The sequence below is a fragment of the Homo sapiens genome, chromosome 1 (genome assembly GCF_000001405.40).
Source record: "Homo sapiens chromosome 1, GRCh38.p14 Primary Assembly".
NCBI lineage: Eukaryota > Metazoa > Chordata > Mammalia > Primates > Hominidae > Homo > Homo sapiens.
In genome coordinates this window covers 174,850,293-174,877,880 of record NC_000001.11, presented here as the reverse complement: position 1 = coordinate 174,877,880, position 27,588 = coordinate 174,850,293, and the positions used below count along the sequence as shown (strand labels likewise).

Here is a 27,588-nt window from a genome sequence, read left to right as displayed (position 1 = left end):
GATAATTATATACATATTTACAAGGCAGAAACTTAAGACAAAGTGATATTTGGCACTCTAAAATTCCTCTCAACCTCATTATATATGAAAGCATCAGCCTAACATTTTAAGTGTGCTACTGTTATATGAGTGTTTAATTATGTAAATAAATCTTTGAAAACCTGTAGACATAACACAAAGCCAACAGCAAGTTATGCCTCAGTTGCTACAGGAGTATAGATATCATGTTAGAAAAGAAAATACAGAACCAGAGTAGTGTGCAAGGCACCACCTACCATAGACCTGGGCTTGCTGATGGCCACCAGACTAGTGAGGAAGTCTTCATCGTGCAGCTGGCTGAAAACATGGGCGTCATAGGCTACCATAATGGAGATTTCTTCCATCATCTTGCCAGCTGGCCTTTCCACAGCAGCAGCTGCTGTCCCAGCTCCAGACCAGACTATCCAAGGAAAAATCCTACTGCAGCTCAGTGCCAGTGTACACACCCACCTGAGTTCGAGGGGGTGGAGTGTCAAAAATCCAGAAAGAAAGAAAGAGAAAGAAAAAAAAAGCGGCTGCTATCACAGGCTTGGCTAGCAATTCACCCCCAGTAGGAAACTAAAAGAGGTTTCTTATCTATGCAGGAAGTATACACTATAAACACCTTCTGCATTTATAACAGAGAAGCTGGAAAATTCAATTTTTGGAAACCTTTAAACTTCAAAAAAGAAATAAAGTTTCCTAACTAGAAATATCCTATAGCAATAACAACAACAAAAAAAACTGATTTGTGTTATGTTCTTGGTAATTAAAAATTTTCATAATAGCTCATCTTCTTACTGCAGTATTATTACATGAAGATTGTTCTTGGAGAAGAAGTAAATTTTCTTAGTGTTCTTAACGCTTATTTTTTCGTAATCTTAGAAAATAAACAGATGAAAACCATTTTAATTTCTCAGAATTTAAAGAATTCATAGTACAAGTGATCTCCTGAAGTCTGAAAAAAAAAATTTTCCCCTCTGAGTATTTCTGTTAAAGAAAAAAATGCCAAAACATAAAAATGAAACAGGGACAGCGATATCAATTAATAATCATTACTCCCTTTTCCTACTAAAAAAAATAAGTATTTTAAGCATAGTTTTGTGTTGTTATTCAGAAAGCAATACAAGAGTCTCATTTATAAACTGGTTGTTTTGCTCCCATAGATAAAAGTTCTCTTCATCTTTTATCTTTAAGGCTAGGGGTTTCTTTTAATTATTCAAATCAGTAGATAGCCATTAACTGTTGGTAGCTTAACCACCAGTAGTGCTTTTTAAATTACAGCTGGAGACCATAAATGAACTGCCATATTTCCAGATGAAAAGTTTGAAAGTTGCCCATAATCACCATTACAAAGTTGCTTGATCAGGAAATATAATGTATACTAATTTCATGGAAAAAGGATTAAGCAAATAAAAATAAGGGGAAGACAGATAAGGCTTCTCTGAAGTTGTTTTTCAATATTCCTAATTAAGCTAGTATCTTCCCTGCTTTTTCTAGATCATGACACTGCAGTACTTACTATGAGAAATATTCTTTGTTAGAACTAGAAATTAATTTGGCAAGTTCGTCTAAAATCAAAAGAAATAAGTTGAAATAAAACATTTCAACCAGTTGAAATGTTTAGTCTTCATTACCAATAGCAGGATTATGTTACCTAAATTTGTTTGCTTTTCAGAAAACAAAACTCAGAATGAGATCTATAGTGTTATTTTCCCATGTTTTCCAAAAGTATTTTTTTCATCTACATTAACATGATTACTTGTATAACACCTTGTCCCATTTAAATGTAATTAGTAGAGTTTTACAACTGCTATAGCATTCTAGCTTATAAGAGCGAGCACAAGGAAGGAGGGAAAAGCACCTGATTGCTAGGAAACAAGCAAATCTAATAAGCTTATTTAAACAAAAAAATGCAATATTTTAAATAAATCCACAAGATTAAAACAGCTTCAAACTGTGTTTGACCCTTGTTGGAGTCAGTAAAGCATTTTTACTTCATTTTTGTTCTACAGTGCTGCTTTGTCTGTTAAGCATTATTTTCGTTAACATTTTTTTCCTGCACATTTATCCTGACTCTGACTAACCAGGTAAAAATTAAATGATAATCAGGAGACAAGGCATTATAAGGTGTCCAGGCAGTTCATACCTTTTAAACTCCTTATCTTTTCAGAAGTACTTTAAAAGATACTGTGAACCTCTTCATGCATTCACCAGCACCAGAAGATTTCAGATTATCTTGCAACATTTTCTAGATGTGAAAGCAATTCCTCTTGCTTTCATATTTTTCTTTGCTATTCAGTGACTCAGAGCTTCCACACATGGATATCTGAATAAGGTGCACTGACAAAGACACCTGTTGTGGAAGGTAAAGAAAGTACTTCCCACAATGCCTTACTCCCTGCTGGCAACCACCCAGGGGCAAACAAGAGTTATAACCGCAGTTCAGCAGCGCCTATGCACCCTGGGAGAGTGCATTCAGCGTAACCATAGGTAATCTTCTTGGTTACGAAGAACCCTTATAACCCAAAAGAAAAGGACCAGAAAAAACAATTTTAAATAGCACCTAGAGGTGCTGTACATTAAACTCATAAAACATTTACGGCATCAGGCTATAAGCATGCAAAAACATTTTTAGAAAAATAATCAAAGGCTTTAAAAATAGTTTAAGTTTACATACACAGAAACTAATAACTTCAAATAATTCAGTCCTTTTAGAATTCTACACAGGTTCTTAGATAAATGTTTTAAAAAGCTTCTATAATTTATAACCTTCAACAGATTGTTCTAATTAGCCACAGTGACTAGAATTATTAATAACATGTCATTTCTAAACCCAAGTGGTCCTCTATTGTAGCTGCAGTGCACAGATTTTCTTGAGCAGGGACACTCTAAGTTTGATTTGCAATCTTCACCTTTTGTCACCCTTAAAATGTTCCTTAAAGTTTACTTTACTTTTCAGAGTCTGGGAAGGAAAAATTCAAGGTTTCGTTTCCCCTTATTAAGTGTACTATATTTGTGGTTCCAACGAAAAACATACTCTTTGAAAACTGATGATTAGAGAAACTGTCACTCTACCGTCATTTTCTCCGGTCTCAGAAATAACAGCTACACCAATACCCTCCAAAACTTCAGAAGCTATTGTACACAGTCCTGTCTACGAACTCCTGTTTTACCATCCCCCCAACCCATTGATTCCCTGGGTTGTTTACACCTGAGTGTCTGCAGTTATCGCCTTCACACCACGCAACTGCATTGGAAAAAAAAAAAAAAAAAAAAAAAAAGGCAGTGGTGTGGAGAATTACCTGAGATCAAGGGCTGTGGTGTGGACAATACCATTTGAAGCTAAAACTTACCAGGAGAAGAGTATCAAAACAGGCAACAGAAACCAGCCACACTCCCGGTAACCAAATAGATGGTCCTCAGTTCAAGCAGGAACTAGCTAGCTGTCCGTCCCCGGGCAAGTCATTTAACTTCGCTAGGTTTCAGTTTCCTCATGGTCATGTAAATTGAGAGGGAGAGAATAGATTCCTGGTTTCCACATGGGTATAGAAAGTCAAAAGCAATGTGTCCTATTCCTATTTCCTCCTATCAAATAGGTTTATTTGATAGAAGATATCAAATAGGTTTATTTGATAGAAATAGGTTTATTTGATAGAACCTATCGAATAGGTTTATTAGGTTTATAAACCCTTTCTGGATCTTATTAAGAAAATGTTTATGAATAAAATATCTCCAATGATTTTTAAATGTTGTTCTGAGATTTTACACTGAAAGAGTATTCCATACTAGTAGCTAATTTTGTCCCAACAGTCATCCTCCTAGAACTGTTCTTTTTAACAAAAGCATACCTGGGTCATACTATGAGTCAAATAAACCATCTATTCTCAAGTGTCAAATTTAGAGACAGCCGAAACAAAAATCAAGAAAAGCTTGAATAAGAAGTGGCTATTTTTCTATTGTGTTCTCTCCAATGCAGCAAAGTAGTTGCATTATGGGAGTAGCATTTTTTTATACATCAGTCAAAGCAGCAAGTATAAAAATTATCTCACCTCACCGGGCGCAGTGGCTCACACCTGTAATCCCAGCACTTTAGGAGGACGAGGTGCGTGGATCACAAGGTCAGGAGTTCGAGACCAGCCTGGCCAATATGGTGAAACCCCACCTCTACTAAAAATACAAAAATTAGCCAGGCGTGGTGGCGCGCGCCTGTAGACCCAGCTACTCAGGAGGCTGAAGCAGAATCACTTGAACCCGGGAGGCAGGGGTTGCAGTGAGCCAAGATTGTGCCACTGCACTCCAGCCTGGGCGACAGAGGGAGAATTCCATCTCGGAAAAAAAAAAAAAAAAAATTATCTCAACTCAGGAGAGTAGCAGTCAAGACCTTTTTCCTATATCTCATATTCTACTTGTTGAATATTCTCATCACGTCACCCATAAAATCAAGATCAGACAGAAAGAAAGACAAAACAACTACAAGAGAAATATGGCTTAGGCCAGGCACGGTGGCTCATGCCTGTAATCCCAGCACTTTTGGAGGCCGAGGCGGGTGGATCACGAGGTCAGGAGTTGGAGACCAGCCTGGCCAACATGGTGAAACCCCGTCTCTAATAAAAATACAAAAAAATTAGCCGGGCATGGTGGTGTGTGCCTGTAGTCCCAGCTACCCTGGAGGCTGAGGCAGGAGAATCGCTTGAACCCAGGAGGCAGAGGTTGCAGTGAGCCGAGATTGCACCACTGCACTCCAGCCTGGGCGACAGAGCAAAACTCTGTCTCAAAGAAATAAAAAAAGGAAATATGGTTTAGAGGGCAGAAAGGTCTTCTGCAACCCCCATATAGATGGGTAGCACCCTGGAGAAACTGTTCCTCCTGCATGACTGGCCCTCCTCTAATCTTTCATGAACATTCTTCCAGATGTTCCTAGGTAACTCTATGCAAACATTCACAAAGTATACATGACTCAATGTTAAGGATCTCCAAAATGACAAAATGTTCACAGTGTTCACAGTGAGATAAATAACTATAAGAAAGGCTGGTTGTGGTGGCTCACACTCATAATCCCGGGAGGCTGAGGGAGGAGGACTGCTTGAGCCCAGTATTATAAAACCAGCCTGGGCAACATAGTGAGACTACATCTTTACAAAAAATTGAAAAATCAGCCAGGCATGGTAGCAAGTTCCTGTAGTCTCAGCTATTTGCGGGGAACCCAGGAGGTTCAGGCTACAGTGAACTGCAATTGTGCCACTACACTCCAGCCTGGGTGACAGAATAAGATGCTGCCTCTTAAAAAAAAAAAAAATAGAACTATAAGAAAGATAAAATTCTATAAATACATTCTTAATTACAGAAAATCAATATTCCAAGCAGGTTTCTATCTACTCTTAGCAGTGTACATTACAAAGCCCATGTGCTCTAAGTGAGGTAACAAAAGAGAAAATATGAATGAGAAACCATAGAAATATCAGAAGAAAGCTTTTCAGAATTTGTATTTCAGAATAGTCTAGTAACACCTACTGAGTTTTTACAATGGGAAAAGAACAAGTAAAAGATAAGTAAACTTGTTCTCTTTAAAATTATGCAAAGGTAAATAAAGAACACCATTATTCTTGTGTTGAATACCAGCCATTCAGCTCATTATCCTTCCTATCTCTCCTAGCAGTTGCTAGGAAAATTCAAAACCTCAGAAAACAGATTGTTCAAAAAAAGAAAAAAAAAACCTAGCATTAAACTAAAAAAAGAAAAACCAGTGGGACATAAATACTTGCTTAACAGGTATGCTGGGTATCTTGCTGCCTCATTTGCAACTCACCACAAAGAATGAGGGTGAGGTAGATTCCAGACTATGAAAGAATAGATGCAACTCTTTAACAATTCAGCTTTTTACCTCATTTGAAACTAAAATCCACCGCCATCACATTCACATTAAATTTTACCTAACCAAAAGTAAATGTTTCAAGTGCTTGTAAGCATTCACCGATATTTGTTATCACTCAAAATGAAGAGTTTCATACTTACCTGAAAACATGAGTAATGCTTCACTTTGTCTCATTTTGAGCAGAGTGCACAACTGAATTCTAATTACAAATAACGATACATTAATTTCTAAAGCATTCAAATAATTATTTAAAACATTTCACTAACAATCAAATGAAATGAAATCATTTCACATGATATTCGTTTTTTCATAAGATCAGAGGGTAGGTTTAGGGAACAGCAATAGGATTTCATGCAAGTGCCCATTTCTCTCAAGTTTTTCTCCCAGCCTGGATAACTCCCTTTCCAATGGGACCTCACATGCCTGCATTATGTTATATACTGGCAGTTTACAGCAGGGCACTTGGTTAAATCCTGCAGTTAAAACCTGCAGTTAAAACTTGACAAGTTTGATGGTATGTGAATTAAATCTTTATTTATTTTAAAAAAGCAACTCAGGCCAGGTGTGGTGGCTCATGCCTGTAATCTCAGCACTTTGGGAGGCCAAGGCAGGCAGATCACGCTGTCAGGAGTTCGAGACCAGCTTGGCCAACGTGGTGAAACCCCGTCCCTACTAAAAGTATAAAAATTATCTAGGCGTGGTGGCATATGCCTGTAATCCCAGCTACTCAGCAGCCTGAGGCAGGAGAATCAGCTGAGATCGCGCCACTGCACTCCAGCCTAGGTGACACAGCAAGACTCTGTTTCAAAACAAAAAACAAACAAACAAACAAACAAAAAACTCAACATTTACTAAATGCTTATAATGTGCATAAGGGGGATTACAGATTTTGTAATCTAGTAATACAAATAATCTATAACAATGAATATTTACTAAAAATGTTATAATAGGCCGGGCGTGGTGGCTCATGCCTGTAATCCCAGCACTTTGGGAGGCCGAGGTGGGTGGATCACGAGGTCAGGAGATCGAGACCATCCTGGCTAACACGGTGAAACCCCATCTCTACTAAAAATATAAAAAAAATTAGCCGGGTGTTGTGGCAGGCGCCTGTAGTCCCAGCTACTCAGGAGGCTGAGGCAGGAGAATGGCGTGAGCCTGGAAGGTGGAGCTTGCAGTAAGCTAAGATCGCACCACTGCACTCCAGCCTGGGCAACAGAGCGAGACTCCATCTCAAAAAAAAAAAAAAAGAAGTTATAATAGTGGCAGCTAATATTTAATAAGTATTCACTATGTCCTAAACACAAAATCTCATTTCATCTTCACTGTAAATCAATAAACTAGATACCATAATTATTCCTTTTTTGTAGATAATTAAAATATGGAGAAGTTTTGTGATTTGACTCGATACCTACAGCTAGAAATAGAGCTGCTAGGATTAAAAAACAGGTGTGTCTGTTTCTAGTGTGCAAGCTAAAGGATAAGGAAGTAGGCAAACATATACCAGAATTAGCCATGTGCCAAACACTGCTGTTTCTCAAACACTGATGTCTCCTTCACACACATACATAGGTTACAGACTATAAAAAAAGCTATGTCTGTCATGTAATACAATAATTAGTGATATAGGACTGTAATAGAATGAAGTCCCTCTGCAGATGGGGAAGCCTTCATGGAAAAGATGGATTGAATTTAGATAGGCAAAGTGAAATAATTTTTTACAGGGAAAAAATAATTTAGAATGACCAGAGTGGTAAACTGATACTGGACACAGCAGAAGTTACAAAGGCAGATTTAAATTAGCCTATGGTAATTTGCAAATATCAGGTCAACAAATTAGGCCAAAGCCAGTCATTGAAGATTACTAAATTCCTGCCTTTCTAGCTTCCATTTATGCCATTAGAGAAAGGAAGTGTGGGCTCCAGAATTTAGAATAACCTGGTTTGATACTGGGCTCCACCACTCACTGGCTATGTGACTGTCTTAGTCTGTTTGGGCTGCTACTAGAATAAAATACCATAGACTGGATAACTTATACACAACAGAAATTTATTTATCACATTTCTGGAGTGTGGAAGATGAAGGTGCTGGCAGATTTGGTGTCTGGTGGGAGCGTGTTTTCTAGTCACAGGCAGAGGTCTTCTCTCTGTGTCCTTACATGGTAGAATGAGGAAGGGGTCTCCTTGGAGTTTTTTTTATAAGGGCACTAATCTCATTCAAGAGAACTTAACCCGCATGATCTAATCACCAGTCAAAGATCCCGTCTCTTAATATCGTCACATTTGGGTATTTCAACATGTGAATTTTGGGGGGACACAAACATTCAGTCTATAGCAGTGACAATGAGCAAATTACATAAGTTGTCTCACTCCTTGGTTTTCTCATCTGTATTAGTCCGTTTTCACACTGCTACGAAGAAAAACCCCAAGACTGGGTAATTCATAAAGGAAAGAGTTTTAATTGACTCACAGTTCTACATGGCTGGAGAGGCCTTGGGAAACTTACAATCATGGCGGAAGGTGAAGGGGAAGCAAGGACCTTCTTCACATGGCGGCAGGAGAGAGAAGGGAAAGCAGGGGAAATGCCAGATGCTTATAAAACCATCAGATCTTGTGAGAACTCACTCAGGATCACAAGAACAGCATGGTGGATGCTGTTCCACTCACCTCCCATGATCCACTCCCCCATGATCCACTCACCTCCCTCCCTGGACATGTGGGGATTACAATTTGAGATGATATTTGGGCAGGGACACAGAGCCAAACCATGTCATCATCCACAAAACGAGAAAATAGTAACAATGCAGTGAGGTACCTGACTCTGGAAAGCATTTGATTGATGTTGGTTGTTATTATCAATATTAATAAAAATGATGTACAGGGGGCAAAACTATTTGATGAAAACTAAAGAGAAGATGGAATTGTAACCTTTAGAAATGGGGCAGGGAGTGAGGTTCTCAGTATACGAGAACACAACCAATGCCTCCATTTTTTTTTTTCGTATTTCCTTGTCCAGGAGAGATGAATAACAGTGTCATACAATTTCAATCCTCTACCAATTTTCCATAAACAACTAAATCTTTCTGGACACTGATTTATTTGGGAGTAATTTGGTAATTTACATGAGTCCTTCTGTTAGAAATGACTGAGACAGGTTAGTGGAGGTGAAGTCTTGATAGGGAGGCCTGGGTGGGGCGTTGGGGCACAATCTCCTACAGTTTGCTGCCCTCTCCGGTTTCCTGACTACAATGCAAACAGAATTTAATCAATTACCTCTCATTAAATTGAACAACTATGAAAAGAACAGGGAAAAAAGAGCATTTGTTATATAATGATATTAATCTATTGTAACCTGATCAACAAAACACCATTACTATGGGCTATCATGTGAAAATAAATAATCCTTCTTCATAACTATATTATAATAAGGTTTTCCACAGTTCATTTTTATCTTGAGTCAAAAGAAATACCCTGTGCAATGGCTTAGAGTAGCAGCTAACTCAGAAACTAAGAACTGACCAACAAACCACTTCACTTCAAAGATGTCAACTAAGTTTCCATCAGAGGTAAATGGGGAAGGGGGAGAGAAATAACACATATTTAAAACCTACTGTGCTAGGGAGGAGCCATAATTTCATTATCTCTTTTAGTTCTTACACAATACTTTGTAGCAGATTTAATTATCCCAATTTTACAGAAGAGATACTTGCTCTAAGAGTTTAAGCAATTTAGGCTGGGTGCCATGGAAATCATGCCTGTAATCCCAGCACTTTGGCAGGCTAAGGTGGGTGAATCGCCTGAGGTCAGGAGTTCGAGACCAGCCTGGCCAACATGGTGAAACCTCATCTCTAATAAAAATACAAAAAAAAATTAGCTGGTCATGGTGGTGGGTGCCTACAGTTCTAGCTACTCGGGAGGCTGAGGCTTAACCCCAGGCGGCGGAGGCTGCGGTGAGCAGAGATCGTGCCACTGCACTCCACCCTGGGCGACGGAGCAAGACTCCATCAAAAAAAAAAGAGTTTAAGCAATTTAAAGTCACACTACTTTGGCTGGGCTCAGTGGCTCATGCCTGTAATCCCAGCACTTTGGGAGGCCGAGATGGGAGGATCACCTGAGATCAGGAGTTTGAGACCAGCCTGAACAACATGGTGAAACCCCATCTCTACTAAAAATACAAAAATTAGTCAGCCTGGTGGCATGCACCTGTAATCCCAGCTACTTGGGAGGCTAAGGCAGGAGAATTGCTTGAACTCAGGAGGTGGAGGTTGCAGTGAGCTGAGATCACGTCACTGCAGTCCAGCCTGGGTGACAGAGCAAGACTCTGTCTCAGATAAATAAATAAGTCACACTACTACTAAATGAGAGTTATGATTAAACCCAAACATGTGATTACAAAGGCTCAGGTTTTTTCCCACCTACATCAGGTTTGTCACAAATGAAAGCAAGAGAAAAGACAGGAGATTCAATTCACTTTTGAATAGCCCATTTAGAAATCCTGAAATAGAAGTTTTAAAATTTCTAATGGTAGACTCTATATTTCTCTTATCTTAGTATTTTGCTCTTAATGTTGTATCCTTATATAACGAAAATATGGGCTGAAAACTTATATTGCATCCAACAGTATCTATCTATCTATCTATCTTTTTTTTTTGGCGCGATCTCGGCCCACTGCAACCTCCACCTCCCGGGTTCAAGCATTTCTCCTGCCTCATCTTCCCAAGCAGCTGGGACTATAAGCGCACACCACCACACCCGGCTAATTTTTGTATTTTTAGTAAAAACAAGGTTTCACCATGTTGGCCAGGCTGATCTTGAACTCCTGACCTCGTGATCCGGCCGCCTCAGCCTCCCAACATGCTGGGATTACAGGCGTGAGCCACCATGGCTGGCTATCTATCATTTTTGAGACAGGGTTTCTCTCTGTTGCCCAGGCTGGAGTGCAGTGATGCATTTACAGCTCACTGCAGCCTCAACCTCCTGGGTTCAAGTGATCCTCCCACCTCAGTTTCCACAGTAATTGGGACTACAAGCGCCACCACTCCCAGCTAATTTTTAAATTTAAAAAAAAAAATTTTTTTTTTGAGACAGGGTCTCACTATTGTCCAGGGTGGAGTGCAGTGGCACGATCACAGCTCACTGTGGCCTCAACCTTCCAGGCTCAGGTAATCCTCCTCTCTCAGTCTCCCAAGTAGCTGGAACTACAGGCATGCACTACCAAGCCTGGCTCATTTTTTATATTTTTAGTAGAGAAGGGGTTTCACCATGTTGCCCAGGCTGGTCTCGAACTCACAAACTCAAGCCATTCACCCACCTCAGCTTCCCAAAGTGCTGGGATTACAGGTGTGAGCCACCATGCCTGGCCTGTAGTAGTATTTATTATATAAGGCATTCGCAAATATGAGGAGAAAGAAGACTGAAGGCAATTTATCAATTCCTCCTCAAGTTACTGATGAATGCAATACACATTAACAGACTGCTATAATAGAAAATATCATGTGAATTGAGGCAACATTCTTGTCAGCGATGGCTTCCATGATGTTAAAAATTGGCTTTATGTATGCTTTAAGAGCAATAGTAAATTGCTTAATGGTCTAAAATAAAATAATAAAAAGATTTTCATAATTCTAAAACAGCTGTCATAGTGGTGGCAGTGGCAATGCCCAGAACATTCTAATTTCATTCATTTGAATGACAGTTAATTTTTTATGTTAAATCTAAAATATGTTTTTATATTTCTATAGATAGATATAGAGGGAAAGATGAGAGAAGGAGAAAAAATAAACGTTATGGTTGAAGTTTAAACTCTTTGAATATTGGCAGGCTGGCATCTCTCTCTCTCTCTCTCTCTCTCTCTCTCTCTCTCTCTCTCTCTCTCTCTCTCCCCCTCCCTCCCTCTCCCCTCCTCTCCTTCACTCTCTCTCAAAGATACATATCTCTTAAAAATCATTTTTGTCCTAAACTATTTGGCAGATATTGTCTTTGTATCAGATAACTTACTAAGTATGAATCTTTAAACTTCACTCTAGTTATCCTACATTGTTCTCTTTGTACAGTGGTTGACAATGCAAATGAGATATGAGCACAGTTGAGATGTGAACATGATACATACAGTCTTACAGATTGCAGTTTATAAATAAGCTCTATATTAGTCAATTGTAGATGAAATGTTCTATTATTTATAGTTACTATAGCTACTAATAATCTAATATTTCCTTTTTTAAAAAGTTACAGGTTCTTGCTATGTTGCCCAGGCCAGACTTGAATTCCTGGGCTAAGCAATCTTCTCACCGCAGCTCCCGAGTGGGTGGGACCACAGGCACAAGTTACTGTGCCTGGCAATATTGCTTTAAATACACTTTATTTTATGATAGGGTAATGTCTTACTGAAGATACTCCATTAAAACAAAAAAAAATCTCTGATATCTATAGAGGATAATTAATCATTACACAAAATGATATCTTAGGAGTTCTTGCCTGTGAAAGAAAATATGCTATAAATTTGCCCAAAGCCTCTCTGCAAGATAGAATTCTAAAGCAGCCATTTTGTAAAGGAGCTTCATTCTGAGACAAAAGTAACTCTTTGAAAGCACAGTTTCTCTTTAATGTAGACTCGCTTAACACTATTAATATAAGTTGCCTGTGTTCTTTTTTGAGAGGGAGTCTTGTTCTGTCACCCACGCTGGAATGCAGTGGCACCATCTCGGCTCACTGCAACCTCCACCTCCTGGGTTCAAATAATCCCCTGCCTCAGCCTCCCAAGTAGCTGGGATTACAGGCATGTGCCATCATGCCCAACTATGTGTTCTTTTTACTGCTAATATATTTGTGCAAGTGGCACGTGGTCTTCTTTTATTTATTTATTTACTTTTTTTGAGACAGGGTCTCACTCTGTCACCCAGGCTGGAGTGCAGTGGCGCAATCTCTTGGCTTACGGCAGCCTCAAACTTCCCGGGCTTCGGTGATCCTCCCACCTCAGCCTCCCAAGTAGCTGGGACCACAGGTGTGTGCCACCACATCCAGCTAATTTTTGTAGGTTTTGTAGAGACAGGGTTTGGCAATGTTGTCCGGGCTGGTCTCAAACCCTTGAGCTCTGGGTGATCCTCTCCCCAGGCTTCCCAAAGTGCTGAGATTACAGGAGTGAGCCACCACACTAGCCTGATGCAAATGGTCTTTAATGTCTCAACACCACAGAATGCAAAGGGTGCAGTAAGAAAATTTGCTGGTATTTTGTTTTTACTTCAGGGCAGTTGAACAGAAACACAGTTGATATGGTTTGGCTGTGTCCCCAGACAAAGTCTCATATTGAATTGTAATCCAAATTGTAATTCCCATATGTTGGGGGAGGGACCTCATGGGAGGTGACCAGATCATGGGGGTGGTTCCCCCATGCTGTTCTTGTGATAGTGAGTGAATTCTCATGAGATCTGATGGTTTTAGAAGGGGCTTTTCCCCATTTTGCTCGCATTCTTCTCCTTCCTGCCACCATGTGAAGAAGAACATGTTTGCTTCCCCTTCTGCAGTAACTGTAAGTTTCCTGAGGCCTCCCCAGCCATGCTGAACTGTGAGTCAATTAAACAACTTTCCTTTATAAATTAACCAGTCTCTGGTATGTCTTTATTAGCAGCGTGAGAATGAACTAATATAAGAGTGAAGAAAATAGGTCTGAGATTTGGATAATAATACAGCTTTATATGTCATAGTGGGGAGACTTAACCTCAGACAAGTAAACACACCAAGGCTAAATTAAGTATAACAGGACATTGCAAAATGACAGCACCACTCATACCCTCAAACCTTAGAAAACCCTTAGCTCAGATGAGCTTCTGAGATACTTCTGGGTCAAACAACCAAAAGTAAAACCATCATGTATAGGTAATAGCAACGACTTCAATTTAATTTCTAAATTCCTTCTCCTAAAACCTTAATGTATTTCCTCTAAAATAATTAGCTTACCATTAAAAAGAAATATTATAGAATTCTGTATCCAGTGAATTAGAAAACTTTTTTTTTCTGTGACAGAGTCTTGCTTTGTTGCCAAGGCTGGAGTGCAGTGGCACGATCTTGGCTCACTGCAACCTCTGCCTCCTGGGTTCAAGCAATTCTCCTGCCTCAGCCTCCCGAGTAGCTAGGATTATAGGCACACACCACCACTCCCGGCTAATTTTTGTATTCTTAGTAGCAACAGGGTTTCACCATGTTGGCCAGGCTGGTCTCGAACTCTTGACCTCATGATCTGCCTGCCTTGGCCTCCTAAAGTGCTGGGATTACAGGTGTGAGCCACTGTGCCTGGCCAGAAAACATTCCTTTTTTTTTTTTTTTAAGACGGAGTCTCGCTCTGTCACCCAGACTGGAGTGCAGTGGCATGATCTCGGCTCACTGCAAGCTCCGCCTCCCGGGTTCACACCATTCTCCTGCCTCAGCCTCCCGAGTAGCTGGGACTACAGGCGTCCGCCACCATGCCCGGCTAATTTTTTGTCTTTTTAGTAGAGACGGGGTTTCACCATGTTAGCCAGGATGGTCTCGATCTCCTGACCTCGTGATCCACCCGCCTCGGCCTCCAAAAGTGCTGGGATTACAGGCATGAGCCACTGCGCCCGGCCCAGAAAACATTTCTTAACTCAGCAAATATCATTGATAGGGTATTCTGTTAGAAAAGATTAACTAAAGTAAATGACAAATACAGCAATGTTACTAAGAGGTTGAAGGGAGAAAAAAGAAGTTCCCATTAAATATACTGTTTTTCTTTTTTTTTTTTTTTGCTACAAACAACTCATGTACAAATTAATTATAAAAATGCAGGCCAGGCACAGTGGCTCACCCCTGTAATCCCAGCACTTTGGGACGCCGAGGTGGGTGGAACATTTGAGGTCAGGAATTCGAGATCAGCCTGGCCAAGATGGTGAAACCCCGTCTCTACTAAAAATACAAAAATTTGCCAGGCATGGTAGGTGCGCCTGTAGTCCCAGCTACCTGGGAGGCTGAGGCAGGAGAATCACTTGAATCCAGGTGGCAGAGGTTGCAGTGAGCCAAGATCGAGCTACTGCACTCCAACCTGGGCGACACAGCAAGACTCCATTTAAAAAAAAAAGAAAAGAATTAATCATAAAAATGCAGAAATCCGAAGAAATACCAAAGTGAAACAACTTCCTCTTGGATTTGATGGTTAATACACAAATATATAAATTTAAAATAAGTAAATCCTTCAAGCCTTTACTAGATACCTAGGTCTATTAGTTATTTAGGCAGTTGCTAAGCAACGTCCTCTTCCGTAGGGCTAAAGTGCATGAAATTAGCAGGTTTTCAGGAAAAGATAAATTGAATGAAAAATTAGGGAACAGCCAAAAGGAAAAAGCATTAACTTGCTAATTAGGCTGTAAGAGAGGTTTAGTGACTTTTAGCAATAGTTTTTATGCATTTCGTTTTCTACTAGCACCAAATGAGATGGGTACTTTAACACATTAATATTTTAATTTTATCAAAACAGTGATCATTACACCCACTTCTACACTTAAAAACTTAATTATATAATTAAGGTATTGGATCAGGATAACTGGGGTATCCTGATCCAATGCCCCAATTACTACTACTAACAATGATCTCCATAGATCCCTTTCTCTAACAGTACTGTTTTTCAAATCACCAGTTTCAGGGTATGTCACACCCCTGGGTTTGTGCTTAAAAAAATTTTGTTGTAACATGAAATCAGTAAAGATACAGCTTCATGATGCTGCTTAGAAACTACTAGATCTCTCTTTGACAAGGGCACCAAGGAGAATACACAATGGGGAAAGGATAGTCCCTCCAATAAACGGTGCTGGAAAAACTGGATCTCCACATGCAAGAGAATGAAACTGGACCCTTATCTTATACCATAACAAACATTAACGTGAAATATTTAAAGACTTAAATTTAAGACCTGAAATCACAAAACTCCTAGAAGAAAACTTAAGGGAAAAACTCCTTTACACTCATTTTGGCAATGATTTTTTGACACAAGCACAGGCAATAAAAGCAAAAATAAACACGTAGGACTACATCAAACTAAAAAGCTCTGCACAGCAAAGGAAACAGTCAACAAAATGGAAATGCAACCTAGAAAATGGAAGAAAATATTTCCAAACTATATATCTCATGAGGGATTAATATCCAAAATATTTAAAGAATTCATATAACTCAACAGCAAAACACCAAATAACCCAATTTAAAAATGGCCAAAGGACCTGAATAGATATTTTCCCAAAGAAGTCATAAATACAGCCAGCAAGTATATGAAAAGGTGCTCAACATCATTAATCATTAGGGAAATACAAATCAAAACCATGAAATATTACCTCATACCTGTTAGGATGGCCATTATTTAAAAAAAAAGAGATAACAATTGTTAGTGAGGATATGGAGAAAAGAGAACTTTTATACACTTTTGGTGGAAATGTAAATTGGCCCAGTTACTATGAAGAATAGTACAGAGGATCTTCAAATATAAAAAATGGAACTACTGCAGCAATCCAACTTCTGGATATGTAACCAAAGGTAATGAAATCAGCATAGTATCTCGAAGAGATATTTGCACTCCTACATTCGCTGCAGAATTATTCATAATGACCAAGATATAGAAATAACCTAAGCATCTGTTGATGGATGAATGGATACAAAAAAGGTGGTATATATATTTACATTTATAGATATACATAATAGAATATTATTCAGTCATAAAAAAGAAGGAAATCTTGCCCTTCATGACAACATGGATGAAGCTGGAAGACATTATGCTAAGTGAAATAAGCCAGACACAGAAAGACAAATATTATATGACTTCAGTTACAGATGGAATCTAAAAATGTCAAACTCACAGAAGCAGAGAGTAGAATGGTGGTTGCTCCTTGTCGGGGGATAAGATAGAGAGATGTTGCTCAAAGGGCCCAAATTTCAGTTATAAGATGACAAAGTTCTGAGGATCTAATATACAGTATGGTGACTACAAGTTCATGATACTCTACTGTATATTGAAGTTTGGTAAGGGAGATGTAGATTTGCTAGATCATAAGTGTTCCCACCACACACATACACACACACACACACATTAACTATATGGGGTATTGGATGTGTTAATTAGCTTGACTGTGGTAATTATTTCACAATGTATGCATCATGTTATACACCTTAAATATAAATAATTTTTATTTGTCATTTATATCTCAATAAGGTTGGGAAGGAAAGAAACTATTAGATCCCTAAAAACTTTGTTCTTTACTATAAGCATTTTGGAATAACTTTTTTTTGCAGATCTTACTATATCAATTCAATAAGTAAAGAAGAATGTTGTTTAATCTACTGGGTATAACAATGGAAACCATTAAAAAGGAAATAGGCAAATAACCGAAGGGAAAATTACTGTGGAATTTCAAATGTTGTGAAGGAAGGAGATAAAAAGTGGAATATACAGTTTTATTATTTTGAGGATTCAAGGGAAAATTCCCCACCCTACCTCTCTACTTGTCCTTTTCTTCATTTTTAAAAAATCACTTGATTTTTAATTTTTTTTTAAACAGGGTCTTGCTCTGTTATCCAGATTGGAGTGTAGTGGCATGATCACAGCTCACTGCAACCTCAACTTATCTTGCCTCAGCCTCCCAAGTACCTGGGACAGTAGGTGTGTACCACTGGGCATGGCTAAGATTTATATAAATAAAATATCCTTCCACCTCCGTCTCCCTAGTCATTTTTTAATATTGTGTTGCGAGTTGTGTAAATGGTGCCAGGATACAATTTCTAATCCCCTTACTCACTAAATCATCTCCTTCCTGATTTTCGTAAAGTCCACACTGAGCAAACCTTGATGCAAAAGCTAGTGAGGGCCATATAAGAACCACATAAAGAACCTACATTTGTGATGAATTTTGTCATGAAGGAGGTGACTTGTGTCTGGATTGTGATCATGTAATCATGCCTCCTTGTATTAATCCTGCAACCAATATACCATGTGAGCTTAGATAGTGAGGCTCTTACTTTATTTGGAAAAAAAAAAAAAAAAAAAAAAAGCATTGGACTAAATGATTGGTCAAGTCTACTGAAGTTTAACAGTCCATGACATCATTTTAAAGCATACTGCTATATAAAAATTGTTATTTCTAATTTTTTTTTAACTTTTAAGTTCAGGGGTACATGTGTAGGATGTGCAGGTTTGTTACACAGGCAAACGTGTGCCATGGGGTTTTTTTGTACAGATTATTTCATCACCCAGGTATTAAGCTTAGTATCCATTAGTTATTTTTCCTGATCCTCTCCCTCCTACCCTCTGCCCTCTGGTAGTCCCCGGTGTGTGTTGCTCCCCTCTGTGTGACCATCATTTAGCACCCACTTGTAAGTGAGAACACACAGTATTCGGTGTTAGTTTGTTAAGGATAATGGCCTCCAGCTCCATCCATGTCCCTGCAAAGGACACAATCTCATTCTTTTTTATGGCTGTATAGCATTCCATGGTATATATGTACCACATTTTCTTTTTTTTTGAGATGGAGTCTCGCTCTGTCTCCCAGGCTGGAGTGCAGTAGCACAATCTCCGCTCACTGCAACCTCTGCCTCCTGGGTTCATGCCATTCTCCTGCCTCAGCCTCCCGAGTAGCTGGGACTACAGGCACCCGCCACCACGCCTGGCTAATTTTTTTTGTATTTTTAGTAGAGATGGCGTTTCACCATGTTAGGCAAGATGGTCTCGATCTCCTGACCTCATGATCCACCCGTCTTGGCCTCCCAAAGTGCTGGGATTAAAGGCGTGAGCCACCACGCTCGGCCTCACATTTTCTTTAAACAGTCTATCACTGATGGGCATTTAAGTTGATTCCATGTCTTTGCTATTGTGAATAGTGTTGCAATGAATATACGCATGCATGTGTCTTTATAACAGAATGATTTATATTCCTTTTGTTATATAACCACTAAAGGGATTGCTGGGTCAAATGGTATTTCTGTCATTAGGTCTTTGAGGAATCGCCACACTATCTTTTCCACAATGGTTGAACTAATTTACACTCCCATCAACAGTGTAAAATATTCCTTTTTCTCAACAACCTCACCAGCATCTGTTATTTTTTGACTTTTTAATAATAGCCAGAATTGTTATTTTTCAAAGATTATTTGATCTTTAAACCTGCTCAGATGAGACATTTATTACCAGATAGTAGGATCTTTTGCTTTCTTTTTTGTTTTCCTGTAGTAATAATAAGTGTCTCAGGCCAGACTTAAGAATCCATTGTGAAGGTCTAATAGTCTAGGTAAGGATAAAAGGCCAAGAGTCAGCAAGCAGTTGGTAATGGTACACATGGCTGAACTATGACATTATAATGACCTTCATTTTATTTTCACAACCTCTAGAATTAAATATGAAAAGACTCTCCAAATCATAGAACTCAGTTGAGTCACACAGTCACATACGGAAGAGTTTTTCAATCTTGGCACTATTAGTGTTTTGGAATGGCTGACTCTTTGTTGTGGGGAGCTATCCTGTGCATTTAAAGATGCTTTGCACAATCATTGGCCTCTGCACACCAGATACCAGTAGCATCTCACAACCCAAGGTTATGGCAACCAAAATATCTTCCAGACATTGCTAAATGTCCCCTCAAGGCAAAATCACTCCCTGTTGAGGACCATGGATATACAGTATATTAAAATTACTGGTCTAGTGTGTGGCTTATGCCTGTAATTCCAATACTTTGAGAAGCCAAGGGCAGGAGGATCACTTGAGCCCAGGAGTTCAAGACCAGTATAAGTAACGTAGTGAGACCCCATCTCTACAAAAAAGTTTTAAAAAAATTAGCCAGGCATGGTGGCACATGCCTGTAATCCCAACTACTTGGGAAGCTGAGGTAGGAGGATCATCTGAGCCTGGGAGGTCAAGACTGCAATGAGTGCCACTGCATCCCAGCCTGGGTTACAAAGTGAGACCCTGCCTAAAAATACACAATAAAATAATTAAACAATAAAACAATAAAATAAAATACAATTATAGAGAGGAGTTGTTTTTCACCCCAAATTAACTTTTAACTATTAGACTCTTAAAAATATTTTTTATAATTTCAGACCAATCTGATATTGTTTCTGACCCTACTGAAAATTGTCAGTAAATGAGTCACTGAATTAGTATCTGTGAAAAACTTTCTTTTATTTTGAGAAGGTTCTTGCTCTCATAGATTACAACAAGAATACACACACTCTTAAAATTAGGAAATCACAAATCAGTTACTGACAAGTCACCTGTGGGTGTCTCATTGTTATCAATATTATTAATACATATCATTATTAATTATATGTTGGTGTAGATATTATTGAAATTCATCAATCAGTTCTATATAGCAGTATCTGTGAATTTCAGAGATAGGAGGGTTATAAAGGGTTTTCAGATTCTTATGTATTCCAATCCATGGTTTATTGATGAATTTATTATCAAAAAGATGATAACTATATTTACTCATAAATATAAGATACAATGACTTCACAGAGTATTGGAATTGGCTTTAGAGATTATTATCTAATGCCTGATTTACAGCTGGGGAAATGAAAGCCTAAGTCTTAGACAAATGAAAAAGCAAAAATAAATTTCATTTTTAAAAATTAGGAAAATAGGAAATGGAGAGGGTAGCAACAGAAGGAAGCAGATACAAAGCCAAGAGAGAAAAATGTCTCTAATGGTGTGTGCAGGGTGTGACAAACCAAAGCGTCATAAATGGCGGCTCTCAGGCCCTGGGACTCATATAGAACAAGAACAAGGGAGGTTCTGGGTATAATTTTACAGCTCTGAACAAAGTCAGTACTTCCTATCAAGGGAAGTTGTTTCTAGTGTAGACCTGTAAAAGCAGACGACAGTGGGCAGACAGAACTTCCCTGGGGCAGTGGTAGAATTCTAGGTTGACATTTTATACCACTTGATTTAACTTGAGATGTTGTTGTTTGGTTGGGTGGGAAGAAGGATGTACTGAGCATATTTTACACTTGTAAATTTTGAAAGTTTTTTTCATGTGTTTATCCTGGGGCTTTTAAACCCAAAGGTCTAACTTTTTTTTTTTTTGGAGACGGAGTCTTGCTCTGTCTCCCAGGCTGGAATGCAGTGGGGTGATCTTGACTCACTGCAACCTCCGCCTCCCAGGTTCAAGTGATTCTCCTGCTTCAGCCTCCTGAGTAGCTGGGATTACAGGTGCGCACCAGCACGCCCGGCTAATTTTAGTATTTTTAGTACAGATGGGTTTTCTCCATGTTGGCCAGTCTGGTTTCAAACTCCTGTCCTCAGGTGATCTGCCCACCTCAGCCTCCCAAAGTGCTGGGATTACAGGTGTGAGCCACTGCACCTGGCCTCAAAGGTCTAACTTTAATATAAAATACATAAAATAGCAAAGTAAAAGGTATGTCCAGTAAAACAGTGGTTGACCTTTGGATGCTTCTGTTCAGTTTTAGTTGTATTTTAAAACTGTCCAGGTATTCCAATGTGTAATTGGTTAGTCTAATCTGAGAATATTTGTATGGGGCTAGAAGTATATAATATTTTAAAAATAAGAGCACAAGTTGTCTTACTTTCTTTTCTTTTCTTTTTTTTTTTTTTTTATTGAGAGGGAGTCTTGTTCTGTCACCCAGGCTGGAGTGCAGTGGCACGATCTTGGTTCACTGCAACTTCCGCCTCCTGTGTTCAAGCAATTCTCTGCCTCAGCCTCCCGAGTAGCTGGGACTACAGGTGCCCGCCACCACACCCGGCTAATTTTTTGTAGTTTTAGTAGAGATGGGGTTTCACCATCTTGGCCAGGCTGGTCTTGAACTCCTGACCTTGTGATCCACTCGCCTTGGCCTCCCAAAGTGCTGGGATTACAGGCGTGAGCCACTGCGTCCAGCTTGTCTTTCCATTTTAACTGGCCAACTGAAAAAGCTACGCTCTGCCAGTACAAACAAAAATAAGTCATTGCATGAACACCAAGCCATCATTAAAAATAGGCTTAAAGAAACTTCAAATACTAAAAAGTAGTTTATATAACTTTACCTTTTCAAGTGGGACTTCAGTTAAATTCAAGAGAACACACAAGTTGCTAAGTGCTTTCTATGTACAAAGCAGAGTGCTACACATCTGGGGTAGCAGAATGAAAAACTCAAGAACTCATATTTCTGTAAATAGTCTATAGTAACAAACTGAAATTTCTATACATAATAAAAATAAGTGAGTTAATCCCACATTCTCCACACACACAAAAATACCTTTTAATCTAAATCCATTTCAAAATTTCTTTGACTTGAGACTTTCTTTTCAAAAACCTGCTTTAAACAGGCTCTCAAGAGCCATGTCTTTGTTTAATAGGGGCAGAAAATGAGGCCCATAGAAGTGGAATGCTTACTTAAGGATCCTATGAAATCACAGGTGGAATTTAGACTTATGTAAGAGCTGGACAGGCCCTCTGGAGTCCTCTAACTTAACTGCTTATGTCAAAGGCCTGGTATCACATAGCTATTCAGTGGCAAAATTAAGATGTGTAGCAGCCCTTCTGACTCTTAAGCAAAGGCCCTCATGGAAACTAAAACCATGTCTTGCCCTTGGTTTATGTCTAGGATACAGTTATTCCTAGTGTTCCACAGAGCACAACTGAACTCTTGGAGCTAAATAAGGTGGGAAGAAGCTTCCTCCAGTGTCTTTCAGACTGGGGAAGCTCTAAGCTTGAATGGGGCCATCAGAGTGGTGGTCTACCTGGCTGCCTGGTTCAGATTTGCTATGACCCTCCAGAACAAGGCAGAAAATAGATTGGTCTCTACTACTAGAATATATGACCTACGCTCAATGGTAATTTGACTTCCTACACTTAATATAAAATCAGGTTCCTGATTTTATGTAATTTGTTCTTTATTGAGAATATCATAGGGAAAATCTAACTTGAAAAGGGTTTACATAGGAAAGAAAGAGGGAGCACTAAAAAAGGCATTTATGGGCTGGGTGTGGTGGCTCACTCCTGTAATCCCAGCACTTTGGGAAGCCGAGGCGGGTGGATCACTTGAGGTCAGGAGTTCGAGACCAGCCTGGCCAACATGGCGAAACCCTGTCTCTACTAAAAATACAAAAACTAGCCAGATGCGGTGGTACGTGCCTGTAATCCCAGCTACTCAGGAGGCTGAGGCAAGAGAATCACTTGAATCCTGGGGGCAGAGGTTACAGTGAGCCAAGATCACTGCGCTCCAGCCTGGGTGACAGAGTGAGACAACGTCTCAAAAAAAAAAAAAAAAAAAAAAAAAAAAAAAAAAAAAAAAAAAAAGCATTTATATTGAGTCTATTGCAGTTATAATTTAAAAGGTAAAAGTTTTTTTTTCAAATTCACTGGTGGAATCTATAAATCTATCACTCATTTCCTGCTTGCTTAGGCCCTTAAGGGTCTAATTGATTTCCTGAGCTGAAACTAGGTAATGGAAAATACTTAGAATAATAATCATCCAGTGAGATGGGCATTTGGCATCTATGAACCCAAAATATATTCTTGCTCATAATTCCCTTCAGTAATTTATATGGTTTCTAAAGGAATAATCTCACCTTTACAATGAAAGGTCTTCGCTTAATAAAACACAGTAAGGCATTTCCCCTAGTGTTTTATGAATAAGGGCACGCCTCTGTGACATTCTCTAGCCTCAACACCTATGTAATATAAGGCCTGGAAGTGTATTACCTGCTTTCCTGCCAAACTATTCATTCATGAAGTCAATGAACAAAAAATAAAAACAAAAACATGAGGTCAATATTATTACTGTGACAAATCTGAGATTTTCATATTTAAGTGATGGAAATCTGTTATTTAAGCTTATTATACCACCTATTTGCAATACTGTCCCAAAGCTGCAGAGGCCCAAATTAGTTAAGGCAAACTACAGTGTGCTGATGCTGGATGTACTATGGGCAGCCTGCAATCTGACATTCATTATACTTCTCAAAGTCTCATTCCCACCAATTTCTTTATCACTGTGGACTGTACATCATTATTGACCATAAGCATTCCTCTGTCACATCTGTTGTAAGATGCAGGGTCCAAACTGTATTTAGCCTAGGAGAAGCATTATTCAGAATATAAACATGCCAGAGGAAAACTCCAAATGCAGAGAGAGCCAAACATGACTTTGAGGTGATCTGTACCATACTTCCCTTTCCTTTAGCAAAGCTCATCAAGAGATAGCTTAGAAAATAGTCTACCAGAGCCAGGTTTGGGCTTTGGAACAAAGCTAGCCTTTTTGTTTTTTTTGTTTTTTTGAGATGGAGTGGAGTCTCGCTCTGTCGCCCAGGCTGGAGTGCAGTGGCGCCATCTCGGCTCACCGCAACCTCCACCTCCCAGGTTCAAGCAATTCTCCTGTCTCAGCCTCCCGAGTAGCTGGGACTACAGGTGTGCGCCACCATGCCTGGCTAATTTTTTGTATTTTTAGTAGAGACAGGGTTTCACCGTGTTAGCCAGGATAGTCTTGATCTCCTGACCTTGTGATCCACCTGCCTCAGCCTCCCAAAGTGCTGGGATTACAGGCGTGAGCCACTGCAACCAGCCCAAAGCTAGCCTTTGAAATGAGACCTAGGTTTAAGGAACTCAGCTCACACAGCTCACTTATGAGTTATATATAACTCTGAAACCTAAGCCCAGAAGATTTCAATTTCTTTTAAAATAATATCTGTAAAATATGGTTTATACAGAAAATAAAGCTCAGTATAATATATAATTTGACTAGATGATGTCAATCATGTTTTACTGGATGTTAAAAAAAAAAAAAACAACCCAGCCTCCTTTCTTTCAAGTGGCATTCTTATCATATTATGCAAATTATTACCTTTTTATAATTGAGACACCAATCAGTGATAAAGCCATTTTATGTGTTTTGGCACAGAGCATTAATATAATTTTTGCTACTCTAAATGCCTCAATCCACAACAGAATCAGCAATAATGCAGTTTCATTCCTTTTAGAAACATTAAAAACAAAACAAAGCAAAATATTTAATTTCATTTCCTAAAGATAAATAACAAACTTCTGCTAAAAATGATCAATATTATCTTTAAAGAAACTTGATTATCCTAACAATATAGAAACATTTTTCTACTAGTGATACTCCTTTACAGTCATTAAAATCAGTTGTTTAAATTTTTCTTCATGGGTTCTACTTTTTTTTGTTTTTATTTTTTTTTTTGAGACCAAATCTTGCTCTGTCACCCAGGCTGGAGTGCAGTGGCATGATCTCAGCTCACTGCAGCCTCTGTCTCCTGGGTTCAAGTGATTCTCTTGCCTCAGCCTCCTGAGTAGCTGGGATTACAGGCCCATGCCAACACGCCCAGCTAATTTTTTTGTATTTTTAGTAGCGATGGGGTTTCACTATGTTGGCCAGGCTGGTCTCGAACTCCTGGCCTCAAGTGATCAGCCCGCCTCAGCCTCCCAAATTGCTGGGATTACAGGTGTGAGCCACCATGCCCAGCCGAGTTCCACTTTTATCACAGATAAATCTTTTTATAATACACTGCACATAAGGCAGAAGCATTCCTTGACCTCAGCAGGCTTACAACAAGTCCCTGAAGTCATCTAAGAAAGAAAAAACTGGACCATGTAACTTACTGGCAAAAAGAAAAAGCATCACAACTCAGTAACAGAGAGTCACAGTCTTATTGCACTTGATGATGGATGCTATGGACTCCTGATGCTGACTTGCAGCATTTCTGTTGTGTGCTTTTCTACTCAGAATGTGAAGTGATGGGAATCACAGAAGCAATTCCCCACACTCTTGAATCCTCCGACACTCTTCAGAAACCTTAACCAATATGTTTCTTCTCTGTGGTTCTCAAAGTTACTTTTTTCAGGTAAAAGTTTACAAAAGTACTATCAATTAAATAAAAAGTAAATAATAGCTTTCCACACTGTTAAATTAAAAGAATTAATTGAAAGGTAAGTTCTAGTGTATAGCAACTTAAAAGGTAAACTACCTTTATTCAGTCTTGGATAAAACTGCCAATGGAACAAAATTGGGTTAATTTAAGTGAAACTCTAGAAAAACTAAGGTAGTCAAAGAATTCCAGTGTTACTTGATTGCACTATCATATCAGAAATTTCTCTCATGACCATTTAAATCCAGGTCACATAAACCCAGGAATTTTTAGAAAGGTAGGAGTTAATTTCCTAAGACATCCAAAGAAAAGGCCAGGTGTTGTGGCACACATTGTAATCCCAACACTTTGGGAAGCTGAGGTGGGAGGACTGCTAGAGCCCAGGAGTTCGAGACCAGCCTGGGCAACCACAGAGAGACTCTGTCTCTATCAAAAAAAATTAAAAAAAAAAAAAGCTGTGCATGGTGGTGCGTGTCTGTAGCCAAGCTACTCAGGAGACTGAGATGGGAAGATTGCTTGAGCCTGGAAGGTCAAGGTTGCAGTAAGTGGTGATTGTACTCCAGCATGGGCGACAGAGCAAGGCCCTGTCTCAAAAAAAAAGAAAGAAATGGCAACTTCTTCATTGAAAATACAAGATTATTTAAAACAGAAATGCTAAAAAATTGCTTCTAAAGACTGAGACAGATATAAAAAATTCATTCTCTGCACAATTGGAGAAAGTAATGAAAAGACAGCAGAGCATATTCTACTTATGGCACCAATGGAAACGATGCAGCCTCTGGCTGACACATGACACTGTTCCACCGGCTCTGCAGCTTCTTTGGCACTACCCATCACACCCAGACTGGAGGGAATATGGCTCCCATCTCTAAAGCCTCTGAAAGCCCACATGTATTAAAGTTTTAGAACATAATTTTGCTCTATTAGTTTCTACTCCTATATAACATATTTAGCAGCTGAAAACAATATCCATTTATTATCTCACATCCCCATAGGTCAGGAGTCCCAAGTGGGCTCTGCTCAGGGTATCACAAAGCTGAAATCAAGATGCCTGTTGGGCTGGACTCTCATCTGGAGACTGGGGAAGAATCCACTCTCAACCTCTTTCAGGTTTTTGACAGAGCTAGTAGTTCCTTGAGGTTGCAAGGATTTGGCCAGTTCCCTTGCTAGCTGTCAGCTGGGAGCTGCCCTCAGCTCCTCAAAACTACTTGCCTTCTTTCTCAAGTGGTCTCCTCCACTTTCAAAGCAGCTATTGCACACTGAGTCCTTCTCATACTTCCAATCTCTTTGACTTTCCTTCCTGCCATTAGCCAAAGAAAGCTCTCTGCTTTCAAGGCTCATATGATTCGATTAGGCCCACTCAGATAATGTAGGCTTGAATTTCCTATTTTAATGTCAACTGTGCCATATGGCAAAACATAATCACAGAATCAGTAATAGAGCATCATATTCATCATGATTCCAGGAATTACGGTGGGACATCTTTGGGGAAGGGAGGTATTTAAGAAATTATGCCTACTACATTTACTGAAAACGTAAGGTAAACATAATAACAAAAGCCAAACAGTGTTGTCAACTTGTTCAAATGTAAAACAAAGATGTTCTAAATTCCTCATACTTGGATGAGTACCATATGCAAATGGTACAAAACACAAAAGGTATAAAAGATATACAGGAAAAAGCAAGACTTCTTTCTAATAATGTCCCTCAGTCCCAGTTCTGTTCCCTGGGAATAATAACTGTTTACTAGTTTCTCATGTGTCCTTCCAGAGATATCCACATTTATTAAAGCATATGTATTTGGGAAGACTGAGTTGATTTATTCCTGAAAGGTTTGG

General features: G+C 39.1%; 1 protein-coding gene across 26 annotated transcripts in view; it reads right to left on the bottom strand.

Annotated features, from left to right (window-relative positions):
* The window catches only part of RABGAP1L (RAB GTPase activating protein 1 like), an 835,789-nt gene that overhangs the window by 117,428 nt on the left and 690,773 nt on the right, over nucleotides 1-27,588 (bottom strand). For 4 of the 26 annotated variants that reach the window (NR_158982.1, NM_001366451.1, NM_001330989.2 and 1 more), the window contains one exon: nucleotides 276-489. The exons of 18 other annotated variants lie outside the window; for them this stretch is intronic. Coding sequence is in view for 5 of the 8 variants with exons in the window: in NM_001330989.2 (NP_001317918.1) it covers nucleotides 276-386 (111 nt within the window). In the remaining 3 variants the exon portion in view is untranslated. Of the gene's footprint in view, nucleotides 1-275; nucleotides 600-2,167; nucleotides 2,364-3,374; nucleotides 3,463-27,588 lie in introns of those variants that run through there. 4 more of the 26 variants (NM_001243763.2, NM_001035230.3, NM_001366457.1 and 1 more) reach the window with 4 other exon arrangements.